At 38.5% G+C, this 24,958-nt stretch overlaps 1 protein-coding gene across 25 annotated transcripts in view, besides 1 other annotated feature; it reads right to left on the reverse strand.

Moving 5' to 3' along the window:
- CDC42BPA (CDC42 binding protein kinase alpha) overlaps positions 1 to 24,958 on the reverse strand; it is a 328,635-nt gene that overhangs the window by 131,902 nt on the left and 171,775 nt on the right. For all 25 annotated transcript variants that reach the window (NM_001366011.1, XM_017002580.3, NM_014826.5 and 22 more), the window contains 4 exons: positions 23,730 to 23,978; positions 21,186 to 21,265; positions 17,817 to 17,983; positions 7,350 to 7,472 (listed from right to left, as the gene is read on the reverse strand). In NM_001366011.1, coding sequence (NP_001352940.1) covers positions 7,350 to 7,472; positions 17,817 to 17,983; positions 21,186 to 21,265; positions 23,730 to 23,978 — 619 coding nt within the window. The remainder of the gene's footprint in view (positions 1 to 7,349; positions 7,473 to 17,816; positions 17,984 to 21,185; positions 21,266 to 23,729; positions 23,979 to 24,958) is intronic.
- Positions 65 to 214: a silencer, noted in NCBI's record as "fragment chr1:227309525-227309674 (GRCh37/hg19 assembly coordinates)". NCBI's record gives its function as "represses an EF-1alpha promoter that drives an FKBP-Casp9 reporter gene in an ReSE screen in phorbol 12-myristate 13-acetate-treated (for megakaryocytic differentiation) K562 erythroleukemia cells {active_cell/tissue: K562(+PMA)}" and the evidence as "EXISTENCE:reporter gene assay evidence [ECO:0000049][PMID:32094911]".

Genomic DNA, 24,958 nt, shown 5'->3' on the forward strand with positions numbered 1-24,958 from the left:
AAGTTTTTAACATTTTTAGGATACCAACAATTTCTTTTTTTTCTTTTTTTTTTTTTTTGGAGACGGAGTCTTGCTCTATCACCCAGGCTGGAGAGCTATGGTGTGATATCGGCTCACTGCAACCTCCGCCTTCCAGGTTCAAGCAATTCTCCTGCCTCAGCCTCCCGAGCAGCTGGGATTACAGACACTCGCCACCACGTCTGGCTAATTCTTGTATTTTTAGTAGAGATGGGGTTTCACCATGTTGACCAGGCTGGTCTCAAACTCCTGACCTCAGGTGATCCGCCCGCCTCAGCCTCCCAAAGTGCTGGGATTACAGGCATGAGCCACTGCCCCTTGCCCGGATTTCAACAATTTCTAAAGTAAATATTAATTTACTTTTGTTATTTCTCATAATTAAGAGTAAAAATGTAGCCTGTAAGGCAGCTGACTTCTGTCACTTCCTGGTTCATTTTAATCTAATCTTATGGTTAAGGAAAATCAATTTAGAGTAGCAATATAGTACATTTAGTAATCCATTCTGAGCACACTTTCTTTCTTCTACTTCTGAAGTGTTCTTCTCTAACATGTTGTTTTTTCAGAAATTATTGTTACTGACTTATTTCAACAGCTCTGAGAAACAAAAAATTCAGTATTTCATAAAATTTCTCTACCATATAAAGTTTGTAACAGATGATATCACAGGGGATAGCTTCTAAAAGCTTTAAGGATATTTTTACTGATTTGTTTCAATATAGTGTTAATTTCAGTTCTCACCACAGCCATTTCATTCTGGCTGCTTTGCAATGGAGTTGTTAGAGAATATATGTCAAATTTCCCTGTTTTATACTTCAGTCACTTTTCAAAAGTGAAAAAAGCTCAAAACATTCATTTAAACAACAGTATGTGAATTATGAGAAGTAAAAAATAATGTACTAGATTAAGAAGTGTTGGAAAAGATAACCCCTCCCCTAATATTTAATAAAATCCTCCATTATGGAGAGAAACACAGCACTTGTAATTTGGAAAACACAGAATGTTGCATTCCCAAAAGATGAAAACCCCATATCACGAAAAATCCAGAATGCTCTGAACTTTGGTCAAATACTATAAAATGAGTAAGGCAGCAGAGCCTTTACTTTCACTACAACAAATAGCAAATATGGCTATAATTCTGAAAGAAATCCAGAGACTATTATAAATACCCAACACAATTAGCCATGACATTTAGATAAAGTTGTTAAAAACTAATTATAGTGAACAAATAGAAAAAGCTGTACTAGGCCGGGCACCATGGTTCATGCCTGTAATCCTAGCACTTTGGGAGGCCGAGGCTGGCAGATCACCTTAGGCCAGGGGTTCAAGACCAGCCCGGCTAACATGGTGAAACCCCATCTCTACTAGTATTACAACAATTAGCCAGGTGTGGCGCACACCTATAAACTCAGCTACTCGAGAAGGGCTGAGGCGGGAGAATCACTTGAACCTAGGAGGCGGAGGCTGCAGTGAGCCAAGATTGCATCGCTGCACTCCAGCCTGGGTGACAGAATGAGACTCTGTCTCAAAAGAAAAAACAGTACTACGAAACTGGGTTAGCTGATACCAACTAAATGGTTCTTAGCTCACGGGTGCTATTTAGGACTATAAAATTCAACTTGTTAGTAATGAGGACTTAATGAAGGCATCATACATATGGGGTTATTTTCTTGGCACTGTATGGCATGGAAGAGAAATATAAAACATGGAATCTGTCTTGAAGGAGGTAAGTTAGACAACAGCAACACTCTTTAAAAAAATAATAAAGTAGAAAATCAAATGCAAATTGTGTGGCAGGCTGTATGTGCTATAGGAATTGAGGTCAAAAAATGGGCATGATTAAAGCAGTATTCAAAGTGGAACACTATAAACTGGAAAGGAGTTAAGACTAGACCCAGTGGGAGGTTGGCAGAATAACCAAAACATCTCCCTGATCCACAAGATGGATAGTTTCATTTTTCCCATTATGTAACTCTTCTGAGATGCGAAGAAACTTTATTTCTAATTATAATCAGTAAAAATAGGCTCCTTTATTATCAATGCCCCTATTCACAGGAGGTAGGGAGGGGAGAGAGAGAGAGAGTGTGTGTGTGTTAGTTTGGGGTTGGAGAAACAGAAACAGTACACAGAGGCACATATCCCCAACCTCAAGGCAACATAAGAACGAGAGTCTCAGAAGTACATTATAGATTATAATAAATTTTTCATTTAGGAGACAAAAAAATTCTATTTTCTCATACAAAAATATTAAATGAGGTATGAATTTTTTATTTAAAAAAATTTTATTTTTGTCTGCAGATACTCAACAAATATATATATAGTGTCAGTTATACAATACTGGCAATAAGCTTGGCACTAGGAATATAGTGGGAAAACCTACTATAACCTACCCCTAACCTTTAGAAGCTCAGAGTATGGTAAAGAAGCAAATATTAAAAAGAAGTTGTCAATAATTATAAAACTGTCGCATTTTTTTCCAGAAACTTAAAAATATTGGAGAACACTGCTGCTGGGAAACACAAGAGAAACAGTCATTAATGGTGGGTATTTGTATACACAAAGACTTTGCTCAAGAAGTATCTGGAGGAATGACAGATTGAAGGTATTTTTTCTTTGGAGGTATATTTTTTTTCTTCAGAGGTATATATTATTCAGAGGTATGTATTTTTCTTTGGAGGTATATATTTTTTCTTTGAAGGTATATATATTTTTTTCTTCAGAGCCAAATTAAAGTTGGGGCTACTCATCAGGCAGGTCCTAAGGGGAGACTTCAATTTGTATTTTTTTAAAAAAAGGGAAGGAAAGAAAGAAAGGGTAGGAAAAAAACAGTATGTGAAGGAAGTGGAGCATCACTGGGTGATTCAGCATGGCTGGAATCACTGGGCAAGGAAGTAGTAACAAGAGACAAAGCTCGAGAGGCAAATACATGCATAATAATGAAGGGCCTTGTATTAGAATTGAGAAATTTCTACTTTATCCTGGAGGCAATGAGGATCCACTGAAGATAGGTATGTTGAAGCTGTGACCTCAACAGACTTATACTTTAAAAGCTTACTCTGGAGACTTCAAGTTCTGGGAAGAAGGAATAGATATATTTCCCATTCTTCCCATTTTAAGTATAACTTAAAACCCTAAGACATTATACATAAAACAAACATAAGACGACTCCGAAATGTGAAGAAAAAAACTTCCTCAGGACACTGGGACCTGATAAACAACATAACGGTGAGTTTTCTGGGGTTTCTTCTTGGTTCATATATCCCAGAATTAGAACTAAAGAAGATGGTAACCCATAAATGACAACAGCTGTAAAGAGAAAAAGCCCCAACAAAAGCCTGCTCTTTCTAGCCAAAGGATTAGGAAAGGGGTAGACCAGAAAGACAGACAACTCACAGAAAGTAACAATTCTACTTGAGATAAACATCACAGAAAAAAAAAAACTGGCCCCATGTCACCAATGTCAACAATGGACAAGTGCAGGGGGAGCTAGATTTCCAACCTCATGAGGCTATAATGAGATGCTCAAACACATCTGCAAGAGTGGTGTCAGAAAAATGCTGGGTGTGGTTACTCATCCCAAAAATCCCAGCACTTTGGAAAGCTGAGGAGGGCGAATCACTTGAGGACAGGAGTTTGAGACCAGCCCAGGCAACACAGCGAGACCCCGTCTCTACTAAAAATACAAAAAATTAGCTGGGTGTGGTCCCAGCTACTCAGGAGGATGAGGCACAAGAATTGCTTGAACCTGGGAGATGGTAGTTGCAGTGAGCTGAGATCGCGTCACTGCACTCCAGCCTGGGGAACAGAGTGAGACTCTGTCTACAAATTAAAAAAAAAAAAAAAAAAAAGAGTGATGTCAGAAAAAGACAGGACATTAACCCTCACTGGCTGACAACAAGCCTCTCCTCACACATTGTCAGTAGAAACCACACGGGGAACCTGGACTTCTACCTCCAACCTGGGTTGGGTTTCGGATCCAAAGCATACTGTATTTTCAATCTCTATTTGGTTGGGAAAAAAATCTGCATATAAGTGGATCCACACAGTTCAAATCCATGTTGCTCAAGGATCAACTGTATTTACAAATTTACAGCATATTTAATTTTACTTTAAAATAAATCATAAATTTATAATAAATGTATAATTTTATAATAATTTTATGTTGCCTCAGCATCCACTTTGAATGCAGGTTTAGCTTTCTTGTTTCAGAGGCAGGGTTTAGTCACTCTTGATGCAGTTTCCAGTTCTACACCACACCCAAGGGGCTCAAGCAGGAGACATCTCTCCCACCTAGCAGACTGGGATCCTGCCTTCCAGCTGCCTCCTCTAAGGGGACCATTCAAGCACTGGCTTACAAACTTAAAGTGACCTACACCCTATTCCCTAATATATACTGCTAGTTGCCATGCTCTCCTGCTCAAAGTTCTCTGTCTGCCTGCACTCCCTGACCTCCAGGTGTGTGGCCTCCAGGGGTGCCACGTGCCACAAGGTAAGTACTAAAAACTCTTAAATGTTCACATCGAGGTTGTCATTGACACTGTACCAGCAATCTGACTCCTGACTGCAAGGTTGCTTCAGAAAGGATGCATGCAGGTGGATCCCCTGCTGGTACTCTTTTGTTCAGGCCTCTGGTGGCTGCTGGTGACAGGAGCCACCAGCTACGTTGACAGAGAAAACAGGCAGTACAAGAAAGGAAGGAAGGAAGGAAGGAAGGAAGGAAGGAAGGAAGGAAGGAAGGAAGGAAGGTAAGAAAGGAAAAAGAAGAAAAAAAAGGAAAACTAAAGACTAATATCCTTCATGTATATAGATGCAAAAATCCTTAAAAATATATTAGGAATGGAATTCAGCAATATATAAAAATAATTGTACACCATGACCATGGTTTACAACAGGGATGTATGGCTGGTTCAATACTTTAAAATCAACCAATGTAATTCACCATATTAACAGGTTATTTTTTGAAAATCGTATGTTCATATCAATTGATACAGAAAAAGAATCTGACAAAATTCAGCACCCATTAATGATTTTAAAAACCCTTAGAAGTACAGAAACAGAGGAAAATGAATGCTTTTCCCCAAGATTAAGAAGCTAGAATGTTCTTCTCATCATTCTTCTTTTAACACAGTGCTGCAAGTTCTTGCAATAAGGCAAGAAAAGGAAACAAAAAGCATATAGATCAGAAAGGGAGAAATAAAACTGTTCCCACCTGCAGGTGACATGATTGTCAGAATTAAAAATCCCAAAGAATCTATTTTTTAAAAACCCTCCTAGAACTAATAAGTGAGTTCAGCAACACTATAGAATACAAAATAAACATATAAAAATCAACTATATTTCTATATATTACAATAAACACATGAACAATAAAATTAAAAATACGATACCATTTGGAATTGCTCAGAAAATGAAATTACTTATTATTATTCTATATATACTGGGTTAGACATCAACAAAGGTTTCCTTTGGATAGTGCCAGAACATTATTGTGAATGACAGCAAAACGTTTTAATATTTAAAAATTCAGCTCTTACATAGAGCTAACAAAGAAGCTCACAACTATTTTAGTGAATGACATAACAACTAGATTGTTGATTTGAATATTTTACATCAATACCATCTATTTCAAGGCAGTTTTAAAATTAATTAGCAAGCTTTCAAAAGCTACTGCCATTCAAAGCCACATTCTACTATTAAAAAGAGGAGAGATATGCTTATGAATAAGTTTTCCAAATCGATATCGCTTCTCTGAAGACGAATCACTGACCATTCTAGCTGGTCTTCTGTTCTACTGCTTTTTTAGTGTCATACAACTCTAACACAGACATTCAGTGGCACTCTTAATGTTATTGTTGGTACCAAAGCAAACTCCATGATTCACTTATCATGTTCCCAATCTACAATAACTTACTTTTGGAAAGATAAAGTAACAGAGATTAGATATATAGATATTTCTTAGGAGGAGAGCCTCTTAAAAACACAAAATAGCATTCATAAATTATGCTCAAAACTAAGATCTCCATATATTTAATATAAACAAAGTATTAATATGGCATTTTAAATAGTCATTTTTATAAAAGATGCTACATTAGATTATTTCTTCTCTTTCACTTATTTTTGCCTAAAACTACCTTTCTGGAGAGGCCTCACCATTCTCGTTAAAATAGTACCTTCTGCTCTCTCTCCCTATCCCTCTGCTTATTCAGATCATGTAATGCCTCTAAACCCTGCGAAAAACTGCCATTTCATTCTGAGTAAAAACCAAAGACCTTACAACAATCAGTAAGGCTCTACTGATCAGGCAACAAGCCCATTTCACCCCTTTAGTTCTCATTTCCTTCCATTCTCCCTGCCTGCTCATTCTGCTCTAGCCATCCAGTACTCTCTGTTTTACTTGAACACCTGGGGCACATTTGATTTTAGAGTTTTTGCACCGGCTAGTCCTTCTGCCTGGAACACATATTTTGCAGATAACTGTATGGCTAACCCCCTTGCCTTCTTTAAATTTTTGCTAACATGTCACCTTCTCAGTCAGGCCTACCCCTGGAGCACTATATTTAAAATGATAAAACTCCTCATTTTGCACATCTGACTAATTCTCCTTATTCTATTCTTATTTTTAAAGCACTTATTACCTTCCAACATATTGTATCATTTACAAAGTTATATATTTACTGGTTTCTGTTTTCTGTCCTTTACCCAGGCCAAAGCAAAGAATTTTTGTTTAGTCTGTTTTGCTTAATGTTGAATCCCAAGAGCCTAAAACAACACCTGCTACATAGTAGGTGCTCAATATATTTATTGAAAAAATGCAATAAATGAATAATAGGTATACGAACACTTGTCAAATTTAGTTTTAATCTCAGTAATACACTGAAAAAATAATTGCATTAACAAAGAAAATAAATTTTCTTGATGCCTGTATACATGCACTCTGCTTGTCTCTAGTGTCCTTCTTCCTCACTCCTAACTCACCTTTTCCTCTCCTCACAAATATGCTTTGCCAGACAAATTCCAAAATGAATAGGCCTTCCAAAAAAGCCATCCTTGTTCACGTAAGTCTGTGTCAGGTGATCCTCCTATGTACTCTCCACGTACCTCCATTTATTTTTCCTGATAGCCTTTTCATATGTATTGCAATAACTGTTTATCTGTTTCCCAGACCAAAATGTGAACTCCTTGAGAGCAGAACCCATTCTTATTTGCCCTTCCCTGACTAGCATGCAACTCACATCACATAACACAGACAGGTTCTCAATAGATGTTTTTTGTGTGAATAAACCATTTTTTAAACATTTCCTAAATTGAATTAACAGTGAATCACAGATATTTACCTGTTACTTGTTTTCTTAGTTTTTCAATTTCTTCTTTTAAGTTTTTTATTTCTAAATCTTTGCTTGCTGTTAGTGGACCATCAACAGTTGAATACTGCAGAGCTTGGACAGTCTGTGTTGACTCTTTAAAAAAAAGGATAAAAGAAATAAAAATATCACCATACTCTAAATTCTTAAAACTAATAACATTATTTTTTTGGAGAGAAATTCTTATACAATTTTATAGAACAAAACATCTACTCACTGACAAAAAGCATGTGAATACTCAAAAATTAAGTCATAAAAAATCAGACCAGGCATGGTAATCCCAGCACTTTGGGAGGCCAAAGTGGGAGGATCACTTGAGTACAGGAGTATGAGACCAGACTGGGCAACAGAATGACACCCTTTCTCTACAAAAGATATAAAAATTGGCAGGGCATGGTGGCACATGCCTGAAGTCCCGCTACTCAGGAGGCTCAGATGGGAGAATTGCTTGAGCCCCGGAGGTTGAGGTGGTAGTGAGCCTTGATCATGGCACTGTACTCCATCCTGGGAGACAAAGTGAGACTGTATCTCAAAAAAAAAAAAAAAAAAAAAAAAAAAATCCACTGCATATATATATATACAAAAGAATCCACCTTCTAATAATTTTTGGTTTTAAATACTATTGGCGTACTCTGCCAATGAATCAACTACATAGCTCCTTTTTCTCCTAGTAGGAACATCACCATGTGATAACTCAAAAGCCTGGTATGTCAGTCAGATGCTATACGAAGAACTGAATCTGGTTTACAAATGGAGAGTTAGGCATGTTAATATACATATGCAGAAATGCTGGCCTTCCAAATTTTATGTCTGAAAGTTGAGGCCCAGCTACAGGTAACCATGGCTCAACAATTTAGCTAAAATATTTAGTTAAAATAGAAAATATTAATTTATCTTGCACTTCTAATTAAAAAATACAAGGTTTTAAAAAAACAATAACTCTATTGAGGCTTATTCCCAGATATCATCAAAAGACATGGAACAAAGAAAACATTTTTTACCATTTTACATCAGAAATGAAATTGCCCTTTGTTCTAAAATAGGTATTCTGCTATTTATGGAGGGATTCTCACATAATAAGTCTCTCCCTTACCATAATTCTTTATGAGTTAGTGCAAATCATTACTGATTACTTTGTGTGTGCATATGTACGTGTGTGTGTGTGTAAACCATAATCCCTATATGTTTGGCAGTCAATAAATATTTGTTAATTTGAATTAAAGGTATAAGATATACTAGATTGTGCATCTGATGTTGATTTTCTGCATCCTATAAGTATTTCTTATACATTTCTTTCTCTTTGGGTTCAAAACATACTAAAAACTGGTCCTTTCCGTATTTATTATTTTGAAAAGAACATCCATTGTTTTTATTTTTTAAGACATCTAAATTGGGGGTAGAAAATGGGGAGACATAAAAATACCCAATGCAGGGGAGGTGTAGGTGCGGTGGCTCATGCCTGTAATCCCAGCGCTTTGGGAGGCCAAGGCAGATGAATCACCTGAGGTTGGGAGTTTGAGATCAGCCTGGCCAACATGGTGAAACCCCGTCTCTACTAAAAATACAAAAATTAGCCACGCATGGTGGTGCATGCCTGTAATACCAGCTACTCGGGAGGCTGAGGCAGGAGAAACGCTTGAACCTGGGAGGCAGAGGTTGCAGTGAGCTGAGATCATGCCACTACACCCAGCCTGGGTGATAGATCGAGACTCTGTCTCAAAAAAAAACAAACAAACAAAAGACCAAAGAATACCAAATGGACATTAATAGGAGCTACTTTTCCTCCTGTACCCCACCTACCACAGGTATGAAGGTGGGGCAGGCATCCTCGCTCATTATTGCCACCTCTTTCCTCAAAATTCCTAGGTCTACTGAAATGACCATTTCCTGCTTATGTGGTTATCCACTTGTCTTCCCTATCTTACTCTTTTTTAAATAAGGATTTTACATGTTGTTCTCTGCTGTTCTTTCCATTACTACTCTTCTTATTATTCTTAGTAACTTTAACATCAAAATAGATAATCCATCTAACACTGACTTCTGAGGCACATAAATCCCCTACGGCAGATACTGCTTGTTTTTACCCGACATCTATTCATCTCTTCTGTCTTGTGAACCAAATTCAATTATCAGGCTACAGTGTGCACATGTAAGGTGGGCCCAGTCAAAACTGGCTGGTTTAAGTTAATCATAATAATTCCATTCTACATTGCAAGTGTTGGTCAAGAATTAGGTATGTGACCTAGTTAGAACTTAAATGGTACCTTGAGAAGAAGTCCACTAGGGGGCTTCAGGGAGAGGTTTTAATCTCCCATTAAATGAAAGATGTATGAAACTAAATGAATCTTTCCACTTTCTGGGTCTCTGGATATGTGCAGATATGAAGATGGAATTCTTGGTGTACTCTGCCAATGAATCTACTTAGCTCCTTTTTGTCCTAGCAGGGAACATCACCGTGTGATAAATGAAATGCCTGGTATGTCTGTCAGATGATATATGAAGAACTGAATCTGGTGTATGAAGGGAGGTCTTACCTTCCAAAGTTTACATCTGAAAGTTGAGGCTTACAATATTGTGGAATCATGTAAGGAAAGCCAAGAAATTAATAGGGAAGCTACCCTAAAATTGGCACTGAAACCATTTACTTCTGACTTAAGTGAGAAAATAAATCCATATTATTTAAGAATTCTCACATCTGCAGCCCAAAACAATCTAGCTGATAGACTTCTCTCCAGCATAACCATCAGATTAACTGGCCACATCCTAAACTAGTGGTTCTCTACTGCAGGTGGTACCATCACCTTATGTAAGGGGACAGGAGAACGGGAGTCAGTTGTTGACACAGCACATGAGGAGACTGCTACAAGCATTTAACATCTGGAAACTCAGAATGTTCAATATCTCAGAGTGTGAAACTCTCTCTCATGTGAAAAAATTACCTCACCCCAAATGCTTGTGGTTCACCAATTAAGAAATTCAACCCTCTCCCTCTCCCTCTCCCTCTCCCCACGGTCTTCCTCTCCCTCTCTTTCCACGGTCTCCCTCTGATGCCGAGCCAAAGCTGGAGAGTACTGCTACCATCTCGGCTCACTGCAACCTCCCTGCCTGATTCTCCTGCCTCAGCCTGCCGAGTGCCTCAGGCGCGCCGCCACACCTGACTGGTTTTCGTATTTTTTTGGTGGAGACGGGGTTTCGCTGTGTTGGCCGGGCTGGTCTCCAGCTCCTAACCGCGAGTGATCCGCCAGCCTCGGCCTCCCGAGGTGCCGGGATTGCAGACGGAGTCTCGTTCACTCAGTGCTCAATGGTGCCCAGGCTGGAGTGCAGTGGCGTGATCTCGGCTCGCTACAACATCTACCTCCCAGCCGCCTGCCTTGGCCTCCCAAAGAGCCGAGATTGCAGCCTCTGCCTGGCTGCCACCCCGTCTGGGAAGTGAGGAGCGTCTCTGCCTGGCCGCCCATCGTCTGGGATGTGAGGAGCCCCTCTGCCTGGCTGCCCAGTCTGGAAAGTGAGGATCGTCTCTGCCCGGCCGCCATCCCATCTAGGAAGTGAGGAGCGCCTCTTCCCCACCACCATCCCATCTAGGAAGTGAGGAGCGTCTCTGCCCGCCCGCCCATCGTCTGGGATGTGGAGAGCGCCTCTGCCCCGCCGCCCCGTCTGGGATGTGAGGAGCGCCTCTGCCCGGCCGCAACCCCGTCTGGGAGGTGAGGAGCGTCTCTGCCCGGCCGCCCCGTCTGAGAAGTGAGGAGACCCTCTGCCTGGCAACCGCCCCGACTGAGAGGTGAGGAGCCCCTCCGCCCGGCAGCCGCCCTGTCTGAGAAGTGAGGAGCCCCGCCGTCCGGCAGCCACCCCGTCTGGGAAGTGAGGAGCATCTCCGCCCGGCAGCCACCCCGTCCGGGAGGGAGGTGGGGGTCAGCCCCCACCAGGCCAGCCGCCCCGTCCGGGAGGGAGGTGGGGGGGTCAGCCCCCCGCCCGGCCAGCCGCCCTGTCCGGGAGGCGAGGGGCACCTCTGCCCGGCCACCCCTACTGGGAACTGAGGAACCCCTCTGCCTGGCCGGCTGCCCCGTCTGGGAGGGAGGTGGGGGGGTCAGCCCCCCGCCCGGCCAGCTGCCCCGTCTGGGAGGTGAGGGGCGCCTCTGCCCGGCCGCCCCTACTGGGAAGTGAGGAGCCCCTCTGCCCGGCCAGCCGCCCAGTCCGGGAGGAGGTGGGGGCGGACAGCCCCCCGCCTGGCCAGCTGCCCCATCCGGGAGGTGAGGGGCGCTTCTGCCCGGCCGCCCCTACTGGGAAGTGAGGAGCCCCTCTGCCCGGCCACGACCCCATCTGGGAGGTGTACCCAACAGCTCATTGAGAACGGGCCATGATGACAATGGCGGTTTTGTGGAATAGAAAGGGGGGAAGGGTGGGGAAAAGATTGAGAAATCGGATGGTTGCCGTGTCTGTGCAGAGAGAAGTAGACATGGGAGACTTTTCATTTTGTTCTGTACTAAGAAAAATTCTTCTGCCTTGGGATCCTATTGATCTGTGACCTTACCCCCAACCCTGTGCTCTCTGAAACATGTGCTGTGTCCACTCAGGGTTAAATGGATTAAGGGCGGTGCAAGATGTGCTTTGTTAAACAGATGCTTGAAGGCAGCATGCTCGTTGAGAGTCATCACCACTCCCTAATCTTAAGTACCCAGGGACACAAACACTGCGGAAGGCCGCAGGGTCCTCTGCCTAGGAAAACCAGAGACCTTTGTTCACTTGTTTATCTGCTGACATTCCCTCCACTATTGTCCTATGACCCTGCCCAATCCCCCTCTGCGAGAAACACCCAAGAATGATCAATAAAAAAATAAATGAATAAATAAATAAATAAATAAATAAAAAAGAAATTCAACTATACACTTTGTCATTATCAATAACTGCATGGCCTCCAAAATCATCTCTCTCATCTGTACAGCTTACTACTCTAGGGACCACTTCAACAATTTTTCATTCCAACCAGAAATGCCAATCAATGTGTTCCTAACATTTTCCATTTTTTTCCTCTTTACTTTCTTACTTACCCTGGTTAGATTCTTTGGTCCATCACTGTTTTGCAAATACCTTCAATTTCTTTACCCTTCTCTCCTCCATTGTACTTATTCTAGAAGGCCCTCTATCTTGGATAATTTCTACTCTCCTCCTACTGTATGATTTTACCCAAGTAGCTGAAAATGGCTGAAAAAAATACACAGTCATTTAAAACTCATGATTACTGAACTTAAATAACTTGGAAATATCTGGCGATCCTAAACTATTTCCCTAGCTCATTTACTCTTTTCGTCTCCATACTGACCATTTCACATTTTCTCTTTTTCTTGTCAAATATCTAATATCTCCTCTACCTTCCTAACTCTCAGTGGATGACCCTACTTTGTATGTGATTTATTGTCTGTCTCCTCAAAACAGAATGCAAACATAACAAGGGGAGGTATTTTTGCCTTTATCTGCTTTTTATTACATTCCTGGTCATGGGCAGTACAGCTCCTGGGCTGTTTGATACTCAATAAACAGCTAATAAATGAATGAATCAGTTTAAATGTTAATCTATGTCACTGCTATGAAACAAGTATTCATACCAAAAGGCAATGATCTTACATTTTTGTTCACTTTGCTCTGTGCAAACGATACTACACATGTAAAAATACCAAGAACAAATTAAAGAATTCAAAACATTTAAAAAAAACCCAAAACATAGGAAATTCTTAGTCATAAGGGGATGGACTAGGAAGCAACAGGTCACTGCTTTGTTTCTCCTGCCGTAGAAAGTAAAAATTCAATACATAATTTGAGAAAATCTTATTTTTAAAAACATCTTTGGTTTATTTTACTTAGTTCTCTTTGCTTTTTCAGTTGGAGTTGGGAAAGTGAGCCAGGGAAGTGAGGCATTCTGAGGTGAAGAGGCTATTACAACTGCTTCTTACCTGGAAGCCTTATCCATTTCTGTGAGTGTACTTAGGTCAAGCCTGGCCTTTAAATTGAGAGATAACATGCTGGAAAGAAAAACCACTGAAGCTTCTGGAGGATGTGTGGGGATGGTGCAACAATTTGGAAATCTCAAAGTCCCTAAGCATATGGTGCTTTTATTCCCATGGTATATTTTAATTGATGTACTTGGGGGCTGCATGGGAAGTTAGGGAGCTTTGAAAAGTCAGACAGAAATCTCCGATAGTACAGAATTATTTCAGAGACAAAGAGCTGCTTGAGGAAGAGAATCTGCTTCAAATACATGGCCAGTCTCTTCATCAAGACACCAAATTTGGAAATGGTATAGGGCAGAAGGCTGAAGAACAGAATAAATCTCCCATAGTTTAGGAAGTGAAGGAGAAAGAGGCCCAACTAGGCTCTATCCAGCTCCCGATTCTGGGCATTTGAAATCAAAGGTAGGGTTGAGTCTAATTAAAAATGCAATTTAGGGGCAGGCACAGTGGCTCTTGCCTGTAATCCCAGCACTTAGGGAGGCTGAGACGGGCGGATCACGAGGTCAGGAGATCGAGACTATCCTGGCTTACATGGTGAAACCTTGTCTCTACTAAAAATACAAAAAATTAGCCAGGCATGGTGGCACGTGCCTGTAGTCCCAGTTACTCAGGAGGCTGAGGCAGGAGAATTGCTTGAACCTGGGAGGCGGAGGTTGCAGTGAACCGAGATCACACCACTGCACTCCAGCCTGGGCGACAGAGCGAGACTCTGTCTCCCAAAAAAAAAAAAAAAAAAAAAAAAAAAAAAAAAAAAAAAAAAAAAAAGCAATTTAGTCTTGTCCAAGCTCAATTCTTGATGGAATGAAAAGGGAGAAACCTCTCTGGGGCAAAAATAATATAAACTTCCTTCTCTGTGTTATTTTTATTCATGACATCTTTCACATGAGACATTTGGAAAAGCAGAAAAGCATGACAAATGAAAGAAAAAAACAGAAAGGCAGGCTCGCAGAAGATTCAGTTGTTGAAAGTAACAGATAAGGACCTCAAAATATTAAAATGTTAAAGAAAACAGAGAAAAAAATACATAAAAATATGGGGAAATTTCAACAGAAAACTGAAACTGAGAGAATCAAATGAATAATCCTTAACTAAAAAAGACAATATCTGAAATTAAGACTAATTAGATGGACTTAACAGCAAAATGGATAAAGCAGAAGCCAGAACTAGTGAACCTGAAGGCAGATCAATAGAAAATATCTTAATGAAGCACACAAAAAACAGAAAGAACGGAAGGAACAGAACAGAGCATAAAGGAAATGTGAGATACCATCTAACATATACACAATTACAGTCCCAGAAGGAGAGGAGAAAGTGCATGAGGCAAAATAATATCTACAGAGATTATGGCTTAGAATTTTGCAAAACTGATAAAAGACATCAAAGAAAATTGCAAAAGCTCAATGAATCTCAACCAGGATTTTCTGTTCACATAAAGAAAGCGACACGTACGTGAATCACAGTCCAACTATTTGAAATTGAAGTTAAGGACATAATACTGAAAGCAGCCAGAAGGGAAAACATACACATTACATTCAAGAGCTTAAGATTAACAGCTGGCTTCTCAAGAAATATTATGGAAGTTATTATAGAAAACAATGAAATAATACAGTAGAGCTCTGAAAGAAAAAGCTGCCAAGCTAGAATTCTAACCCAGCACAAGTATTCTTCAAAAATGAAGGTAAAAATAAAGACATTTTCAGATCAACAAAATCCTATCAAGAATTTGTCACAACACATTCACATTACAAGAAAACAATAAAGGAAGTTTTTTAGGCTAAAGAAAAATGATTCCAGATAGAAACATGGATCACTAGGGAGAAATAAAAAGCACCAAACGGGTAAATATATGGGTAAATAAAAAGATACTTAAAATTAATGAGTAAAGAAAACATAAAGCAACAATGGAGTAAAAGTGTATTAAAAGATTTATAACACAGATTAAAGTAAACTATGTAACAACAGTCATACAAGGAGTTGTCTAAAGGTTTCTACGTTGTTTGTGAAGTAGTAACATACAAATTATTAAGAAAAAGATATATAAAGACCTAATAGAAAAATGGGCAAGAACCTCGAACCAAAACTTCACAAGACTAGATATCCAAATGGATAGTAAATACATGAAAAGATATTCAACCTCATTATTCATCAGGGAAATGCAAATTAAAATCATGGCAGAACATCACTATACTTCTACCAGAATGGCTACAAGTGAAAAACGCGGACGATAAGTTCTGGTGAGGAGTTGAAGACAGTAGAACTCATACATTATTAGTAGAACTATATATTGGTATAGTCACTTTAGAAAACTCTTTGAAAATATCTTCTAAAGCTGAAAATCCTCTACTATATGGCCCAGAAATTGTACTCCCAGGTATATATCTGAGAGAAATAGTACATAGGACCACCAAAATAAATAGATAAGTATATTTGCACGAACTTTACTCACAGTAGTCAACATCTGGAAATAACCCAAATATTTACCAACAACAGACTGGGTAATTTTTTATTGCTGATATACAATGAAATACTAAACAGCAGTACAAAAAAAAAAAGAGCAAACTGCTGATATATACAAAACATGGGTGAATTTCAAAAAACAAGTGAAAGATGCCATACACAAAAGAGAATATACTGTATGATACCATTTATATGAAGATCAAAAACCGGTAAAAATTCATTAATGGTGAAACAACTTAGGATGATGTTTATTTCATAGTGGTAGGTTACAAACTGGGAAGGGACATGTGAGGACTTTACCCTATGCTGGACATATTCTACACATGAATATGGGTGAAGGTTACATCAGTGTATACATATACAAATATTTATTAGGCTTATACTTAAAAGTAGAATGCTTGCACACTTTGCTATATGTGTATCACCACAGGAAAAAAAAGAAACAGAAAAATTTCAGTCACAAAAGGGAAGTAATTCATATGCAGAGATCTTAACAACTTACGGAAAAACAGAAAATAGTCCATTCTATTGATGTCTACACAGCCTTTTTCTCTACTGGGCCTCTAAAAGTATGACAGTAAAGTTTTGTGATTGTAAAACTTTGATTAGTTACAAAAGTTCCTGATTATTTGTCCATAAATACATTCCTTCATTCACAAAATATGTAAGTAAAATATGTTACATCCTTTATTTTAGAGAAAAAAGCAGAAAAAGGAGACAGTAGTACTGGGGATATATATATGATTAAATTATAAATAGGATGGTCAGGAAAACCTTCACTGAAGGCCTCATTCAATTAGAGACTTGCTTCAAATAGAGAATATTCTAACATTCAAAGGTCGAAGAGTTAAGGAAAACTTAGCAAAGGAGACTGGGAAGGACAGGTTTATGAGGAAAAAGAAAACCAGGAGATAAAGTGCCCCAGAAGCCAAAAAAAAAAAAAGAGAGCGTTATCAGAAGGAATAAAAGGTCCATAGGGTCAAATATTGCTGATAGGTTAAAAGGTGAAGACAGAAATCATCACTGGATTTTACAACACAGGATAGGGAAATAGACTAGGGGAAATAGCATGAAGAGCTGACTTGAGGTGAGTGTCTGTGAATCTGAATTAATATTAGTCAGCACGTTGTGGGTGTTTTAAGCAAGCTGTCTTCAGCTGGATAGTTGAAGATACAAAGTTGTATTCAAACACAGTTGGGGTTCTGCCAAAGGTATTTGACAAAGAGAAAGAGGAACAATAGATTTGAAGGTATATGCCAGGGTATGACTATGGCTGACCAGAGAACGAAAAATGAGGGTATAAATAGCAGAGTTAAACGGTGATAGACTTGTAGGTAACGGTGGCAGTGAAGAAATACTGGAGTTAAGGGGTCAGAGAGAGAGCACTAAAAATTATGAGCAGGAGATTATAAAAGATTTGCTGGAAACTGCGATTAAAGAAGAGTTTTAGGTATTGTAATCTTAAGACATATCTTATTACCATAGGATGGACTGGATGAAACCAGGTGGAGTAAACAATCACTGAAGGTGAAGACTCAAGAAACTCACTCAGAATCTTAAAAAGTTTATGTGTATGTGCATTTTAAAATCACCAAATATGGCAGAAGCAATGCTGCAGAGAATGACAGTGTGAAAGGAGCTAGAGCTCTTAAAGATTGAGCAAATAATATAGGAAAAGTCATTAAAGTGCTATAACGAAGTGAGGAGGGTCCCATTTCCCCATCCCCAAAGGTATTCCCACACATTTTTATAAACATAAATATGTACCCACAGGAGACCAAAGCTATTTTGTTGTTGTTTACTATTAACTGTGTGATTTTACATAAATGGTATTATGCTGTGTTCTGCATACATCTCTACAACTTGATTTTTCACCACTTAAAATAATTTTTTTCAAAGATAAAACAACCACTTATAATAAACAGCTCATAACACTGTGAGTACAATTCAAAAAGTGAAAATATATTTAAAATATATTTACCTTGAAGTTTTCTACTGAGTTCAAGTTTTTCTTGCTCAAGGCGCTTAATTCTTCTTTCATAAGCTTCAGTTGCTAAGTTGTTGTCTAGAGTCCTCTGAACATTAACATCAAGATCCAGTGAGGTGGGACCAGCCGTAACTCTTAAACAGCTCCGATCAGAAAGTACACTGAAGAAAAGAAAAAAAAATGTAGGTTCATACTGTGATAAAAAGCTTGAAGAAAAACGTTAACATTTTTTAAAAATTGTTTTTAACTGACTCCACATTTATGGCAAAAACATTTTTAAATTGCTCATTTAAAACACAGATCTGAATATCTTGCAGTTAGCCAGCTGGAATAATTATAAAAATTTGTTTGCAAAATCACCATAAACTGTTTTTAGAAGCATTTTAAAAAATGAAAACCTAAAATCCCCCAAATTATTATGATTTTAAAAACCCCACAAATTATAAAATTAAGTTTGCTGAAGGGTTACTGGTAGTTTAAAACAATTTGACCACCTAGGTGAAACAGTAGTAGTCAAAAGCACCAACCACGGCCCTCTTTACTAGAATTTGAAATTCAAAAGCAAGTTTCTGTCTTTAATTCAATACAATTTAAATAAAAATGCTGAAACTGCTGGACATTTGGTGGTGAACAAAACAGACAAAAATCCTTGCCCATATAGAGCTTATATTCCAGTGACTGAGACAGAAATAAAGAAAATAATGGAGATATTCATTACATTAGAAAATGTTAAATGCTAAGGAGAAAACATAAAGCAGGAAAGGGAGAAATAAAGTATTGAAGAGGAGGAAATAAAAATTTAGATAAAGAAGTTAGGAAAGCTGTCACTGCTAAAGTAACTTTGGAAAAAGCTAAGTAAGGGTGAGGGGACCAGTTAAGGGAATATCAAAAGAAAGAATGTTCCAAGCAGATGAAACAGAAGTACTAAAGCCCCGAGACAAGAGTATGTCTGGCATGTTCACAGCCCAGAAAGGAGGCCTGTGTGGATGGAGTTGAGTAAACAAGGAAAAATAAACTCAGAAAGATAAAAGTAAGGCAGTCATGTAGGGCCTTGTAAGAAGTTTGATTTGGAGTTAAAATATGAAGCCACTGGAGTTGGGGATGGGTGGACTGGTTCTGAACAGGGGAGTGACATGTTCTGATTATCTTTTAAGAGGATCACCTGAACAGGATCAGAGAACTAAAAGAAAGTTATTTACATAGTAAGTGGGTGGTTAAGACAGATTTTTAAGTAGACGAGAGGAGAGGTCTCAGTTGGAGATGCACGTTTAGGAGTCATCAGCAAATCTTTGGGAGAACACTACAGAGTTTAGATGGAAAAGAGAAGTCCAAAGACTGAGCCATAGGACACTCTGATATTAACAAGCCAGGGAAATCAGGAGGGATCAGGTATGGAGACTGAGAAGGAATGACCAGCAAGGTGAGAGAAACTCAGTCAAGTGCCCTAGAAGACAGGAGAAGGTGGTATTTTAAAAGTATGGAGCTGTGGCAAATAAGATGAGACTAAGCAAATAAGTAAGACTAGGACTGACAAGTGATCATTAGATTTAGCAACATGTTGGTCAACAGTGACATCGATAAAAGTAGTTTGCATGAAGTGATGGGGGCACACACCTGACTGGAATGGATTCAAGAAACAACAGTATGAGAAACATAAACAAAATATAGTCAACAGTTGAAGTAAATTTTCTATAATGTAAAGCAGAGACATGGTTGATAAGAGGTAAAGGAAGAGGAATCCAGATTTTATATTTTGCATTAAGATGGAGAACTGACATTTGTAAGCTGATAGAAATGATCTGATGATGCAGATGACACAAGAAGAAAAAAATTCATGACATGAAAGCAAAACATGCACTAGACTAGCCAGGAAGGGATGGAAGATACTGGCCTTACTAGAGGCTTGCACAGTTCATCCATGAAAAGAACAGAGAATTTGGGTCTAACAGTAAGTAGGCGGTAAATATGGTAACTGGAGCTTGTGGAAGTTGTCTGCGGTTTGCCTCAATCCTTTCAGTGAAAGGAGATGCAAGCTGAAAGTGAGGATGACAGAGGTTTCAAACTCAAGTAGAAAGAAATAGGCCAGATGCAGTGGCTCACATCTGTAATCCCAGCAACAGGGGAGGTTAAGGCCAGAGGACGGCTTGAGGAGTAGGAGGCTGTAGTTATCTATGACTGTGCCACTGCACTCCAGCCTAGACAGCACAGCAAGACTCCATTTCTAAATCGTTTTAAAAATTAGCTGGGCATGGTGGCTTGTGCCTATTGTCCCAGCTACTCAGGAGGCTGAGGCAGGGGGATCATTTGTGCCCAGGAGTCTGAGGCTATAGTGAGCTAGGACTGCACCACTGCATTCCAGCCCTTCTGCTGCCCAGAACAAGACCCCATCTCTTAAAAAAAAAGAAAGTAAAAAATAGTTACTAGGTGAGTGGAAGAGTGAATATACTAGGGTAATACAGTACATTTGTCAGACAAGGGGGACTTGAGGTTGGTAATCATGAATTTAAAGTAGACCAGTAAGAATAGTCAGCTATTTTTTCTAGTCATTTGGAACTGTACAGGTAGAGAATAAAATTGTAATAGTTAATGTTCACTTAGCAAAACAAATATAACAGAATGAGAGACAGTCAAAGGAACTGAAATGGCATACAAGGAGTGATTATAATCATTCTCAATGGAATTTAAACAGGGTAAGGGGGAAATAGGGAATATAAGTGAAGTGAGGGTCAGTGAAAGGATGGTAGAATTAATGGGTTGAAAGTTCTCCTGCTTGACATCTAGAGAATATTCAACAGCGTGAAACTCTTCTAATTACTGCTTCATTGGTAAGGATTAGATTCTGAGCTCTCTGTTCCATTCTTTCCCCTCCAAAACGAGTTAAGATTTTCATGCGTTCTATTCATTTTGTAATGCTTAACTTTCTATTTCCAGCAGTAGGCTCACTCTATTTTTTAAAAAGTTTTAATTCACAAAGTTTTCTCATACATCTTTTACGAACCTCAATTCAATTTAATTTGCTTTAAATTGTCCAAACTATGTTAACTTTTTTTTTTTTTAAGACAGAGTCTCGCTCTGTCACCCAGGCTGCACTGCAATGGCGCAGTCTCGGCTCACTGCAACCTCCACCTCCCAGGTTCAAGTGATTCTCCTGCCTCGGCCTCCCGAGTAGCTGGGATTACAGGCACCTGCCACCACGCCCACCTAAGTTTTGTATTTTTAGTAGAGATGGGGTTTCACCATATTGGCCAGGCTGGTCTCGATCTCCTGACCTCATGATACACCTGTCTTGGCCTCCCAAAGTGTTGGGATTACAGGCGTGAGCCACTGCACTTGGCCCAAACTATGTTAACTTTTCAAACTTACCAGCTACTAGTATATGTAAAACCAACAAATGGCAGATGGTGGCCAGAAAATGCAGTATGTGTTGGTGGGGGCATCGTTTCCTAAAGGAGGAAAAAACATCTGGTAAGAAATAGATAGCTATATGATCTGTAGGCTTGGCTATAAATATAAAATGCCAAAAAGAAATATTTAAAAAAAAATTGTGACTGTTCAATTTTAAAACACTGGTAAGTTTGGTATAGTTGTTTAGTGATATAAAATTTAGACCATGAACACTGCTACTCTAAAATTCTAATTAAAGTAAAATGAAGATTCAAAGTCTGATATTGAGAATACAGTCATTATTATTCATGTATTCTGTATTTGCAAATTTGTGTAGAAGCTAATATTTATTTGTAAACCCCAAATCAATACTTGTGGTAATTTTATGATCATTTGTAGACACGTGCAGAGCAGAGAAAAATTTGAGATGTCCTATGCTCACATTCCCAGCTGAGGTTGAACAGGAGAGGCTCTGCCTTCTCATTTAAGCTCTCATATTATAAACAAGTGTCCTCTACAGGGTCTCTTTGGTGTCATGCATTTCACATTTTTGGGCCCTCTGTATGTGATTCACTGCTTGCAAAGGCTCCCAAGCATAGTGCTGAAGCGCTGTCTAGTGTTCCTAGCGCCAGAGGACAGTGATGTGCCTTTATGGAGAAAATAATGTGCTAGAAAAGCTTCATTCAGGCACGAGTTACAGTGCTGCTGGTGGTGAGTTCAGTGGTGAGTTCAGTGTTAATGAATCAACAACATATGTTATATAAAGTGTCTTTAAAGAGAAGCACACATAAAACAAGACTATATATTGATCAGTTGATCAGAGGCTCACAGAAACCTAACCCTGTATTTCCCTCAGAGCAATGGTTCAATATTAGCTAACAGTGTTCAAGGCAACTATATAGAACATAACCTCCATGAATAATTAGGATCAACTGTACTATGTATTTAATTTGGAATGATTCATAATTTGTTAACAGTAAATATAATTCTATTTATAAAAAATTGGTAAGAGAAGTCAGTTTAATTATTCTTTGTGAAGTTTAGACAGGAAAGTATGAGAAATTTTTATCTGCCTTGAATACAGTACTAGGATGGTTTTACAATTATCAGTTATCAAACAGTGATCACAGCTTATTGTATTGAAATAGTATTCACTGTTTCAGTGAAAAGTTATATAACGTGTACCGATTATGTACCCACAAAAATTAAAAATAAAGATTTTGTTAAGTCATATAACATTAACATAAAAATTTTTAGTACAGGATTAAAGCCATAGTAAATAAAATAACTGAATAAAAATAAAAGCTCAAATTAAGAAGGCTAAAAAGGGGCCGGGAGCAGTGGCTCATGCCTATAATCCCAGCACTTTGGGAGGCTGAGGAGGGCGGATCACAAGGTCAGGAGATCAAGACCATTCTGGCTAACACGGTGAAACCCCGTCTCTACTAAAAACATAAAAGTTAGCCAGGTGTGGTGGCGCACGCCTACAGTTCCAGCTACTCAGGAGGCTGAGGCAGGAGAACGGCGTGAACCCGGAAGGCGGAGCTTGCAATGAGCCGAGATTGTGCCACAGCACTCCAGCCTGGGAGACAGAGCGAGACTCTGTCTCAAAAAAAAAAAAAAAAAAAAAAAAAAAAAAGAGGAAGGCTAAAAAGGCAAAAAACTCAAAAATTTTAAGTTCTTATTTTCCTAAATTTTAATCTCATATAACCTAAAGGGTTATAGCAGAGGTCAATATACTATGTTGGCCTGTTTTGGCATGGCTCACAAGTTAAGAATGGTTGAATTATTTGGCTATTGGACTGGCCGAATAATTGGCTTGAGGTCTGTATTCACCTCAGGCAGGGCTATACCTCAGAGCTATACCACGTCTGTGGACTATTTTCCCTATTGATTTCCTACCAAGTTTGCTATTGTTAGCAGCAACACACTGGGCTTGGGTATTTAGTCCTGGAATCTGCCCTCTGTATCAGCAAAGCTGCTGATTTTTCTATCCAGTTCCATGCTACTAGTACTACTGTCCCAGACCAAGTCAGTAGTGGGGATGGACGTGTGTGGTATATGTGACTTTAAACTAAAGTTCAGCAGTTTTTCACAAATAAATGCTTCTCAATTTATTTCTCTTCAATTGTTGTATCAGGCCCTGACATGGTTGATTTTGATAATTTTGTCCAGTTTTATGGTTTTAGGGAGAAATTTGCCAACCTCTGCACTTTACAATCATAAAATCTGCTTTTTTAAATATCTAATTTGTTCTCTTACGAAGCTTAATGGCATAACTTATCTAAGAGGTAAAACTTTGAATTTTAATTTTGTTCTTAGTCACAAATAACTATGTTCACCTCAGTTAACTTTCTTCTTAATTTGATTTGTGACAGAATAAGCACCAGAAGCCATGATCACTGACTAATAACTGATCATTGTAAAATCATCCTAGCAAAATACTTATAAACCAAAAAATTACTATATAACCATAGTAGAAAGAAACAGAGGGACAGAACTTCTTCACAGTGTCATACTTACAGAATTTTTTAAACAATCATCATCTACATCAAAATTCGATGTATCTGTTGGGCTACTAACTTCTGGAATATAAGGTGCTTCACAGTTCCGAATATTATCCCAATCAATTCCACTGAAAAATGGGTGTTTCTTAAAGTCTTCTATTCCATTTTGACCAAGTCGATGTTCTCTGCTACAAATGAGCCTTCGAATAAGATCCTTAGCATTTTCAGACACATCAGTCACTTGGGCTGGAAACTGAAACCTCTCCTAAACAGAGAAAAACAGAAACAAAATATAAATCAGTGTTTAACATACTAAGTAGTTGGTTGACTTATTTATTTTCTTAAAAATACATTTTATTTTAAATATATCTAATAACTGCATGTTGGTGCAAAGTACTAATACTAAAGGAATACAGGGATGAATGACAGAAGATCATTTTCCTAGGACTTTTAATTTCATATATGACTCAATCATGCATGCGCTATAGAAAGAAGAATACATTGTACCTTAGATATCTTAAACTGCTATCAGAATGAAGAGAAATTACTTCAAAGTAGTGGAATTTGACTCTATTTAAATCAAGATAGATGATTGATAATGGTCATATAAGTTACATACTAATGATTAACTAATAATAAATATTTTTAAAGGACATAATATGTATCTGACACTATTTAAAGTACGTTACTCATTTAACCCTCAAAACAGTCATTTTAGGTGGGTACTCCTACTATGCTAATATTATAGAAGAAATAAAGACACACAGAATTCAAGTAACTTTCTCAACATTACACATCTAGGAAGTGGCAGAACCAGAATTTGAACTGAAGCTGTAATCTGTGCTGTTAAATATATACTACAATATTTTTTTCTAATTCAAATGATGTACATGCTATTTACAACCCTGCTGCTATTTCCAGTCTTTCAACTCTTTATAACTATATGAAACATTATCTTTGCAAACAGGAAGAAGAATATAAACCCTATAAAACTGATTTTTATACATGTAAAGCAACTAATCATAATTGCTTCACTAGAACAAATTAAAAAGAATAGATTATCATTCCCTTCTATCGGATATTCATATTCTAAGTATTTGCAACTGCTCACAATCTTCTAAGACTGCTAATAAAACCTTTCTTCTTATTATTATGAACAGTCTATTTCACTTAGTACTAAATATATTAACGTTTCATTAATTTGTTCTTGTTGTGTGTCTGTGTTGCTTCTAGTGTTCTGTGATC

The sequence above is a fragment of the Homo sapiens genome, chromosome 1, assembly GCF_000001405.40.
Source record: "Homo sapiens chromosome 1, GRCh38.p14 Primary Assembly".
NCBI classification, from domain to species: domain Eukaryota; kingdom Metazoa; phylum Chordata; class Mammalia; order Primates; family Hominidae; genus Homo; species Homo sapiens.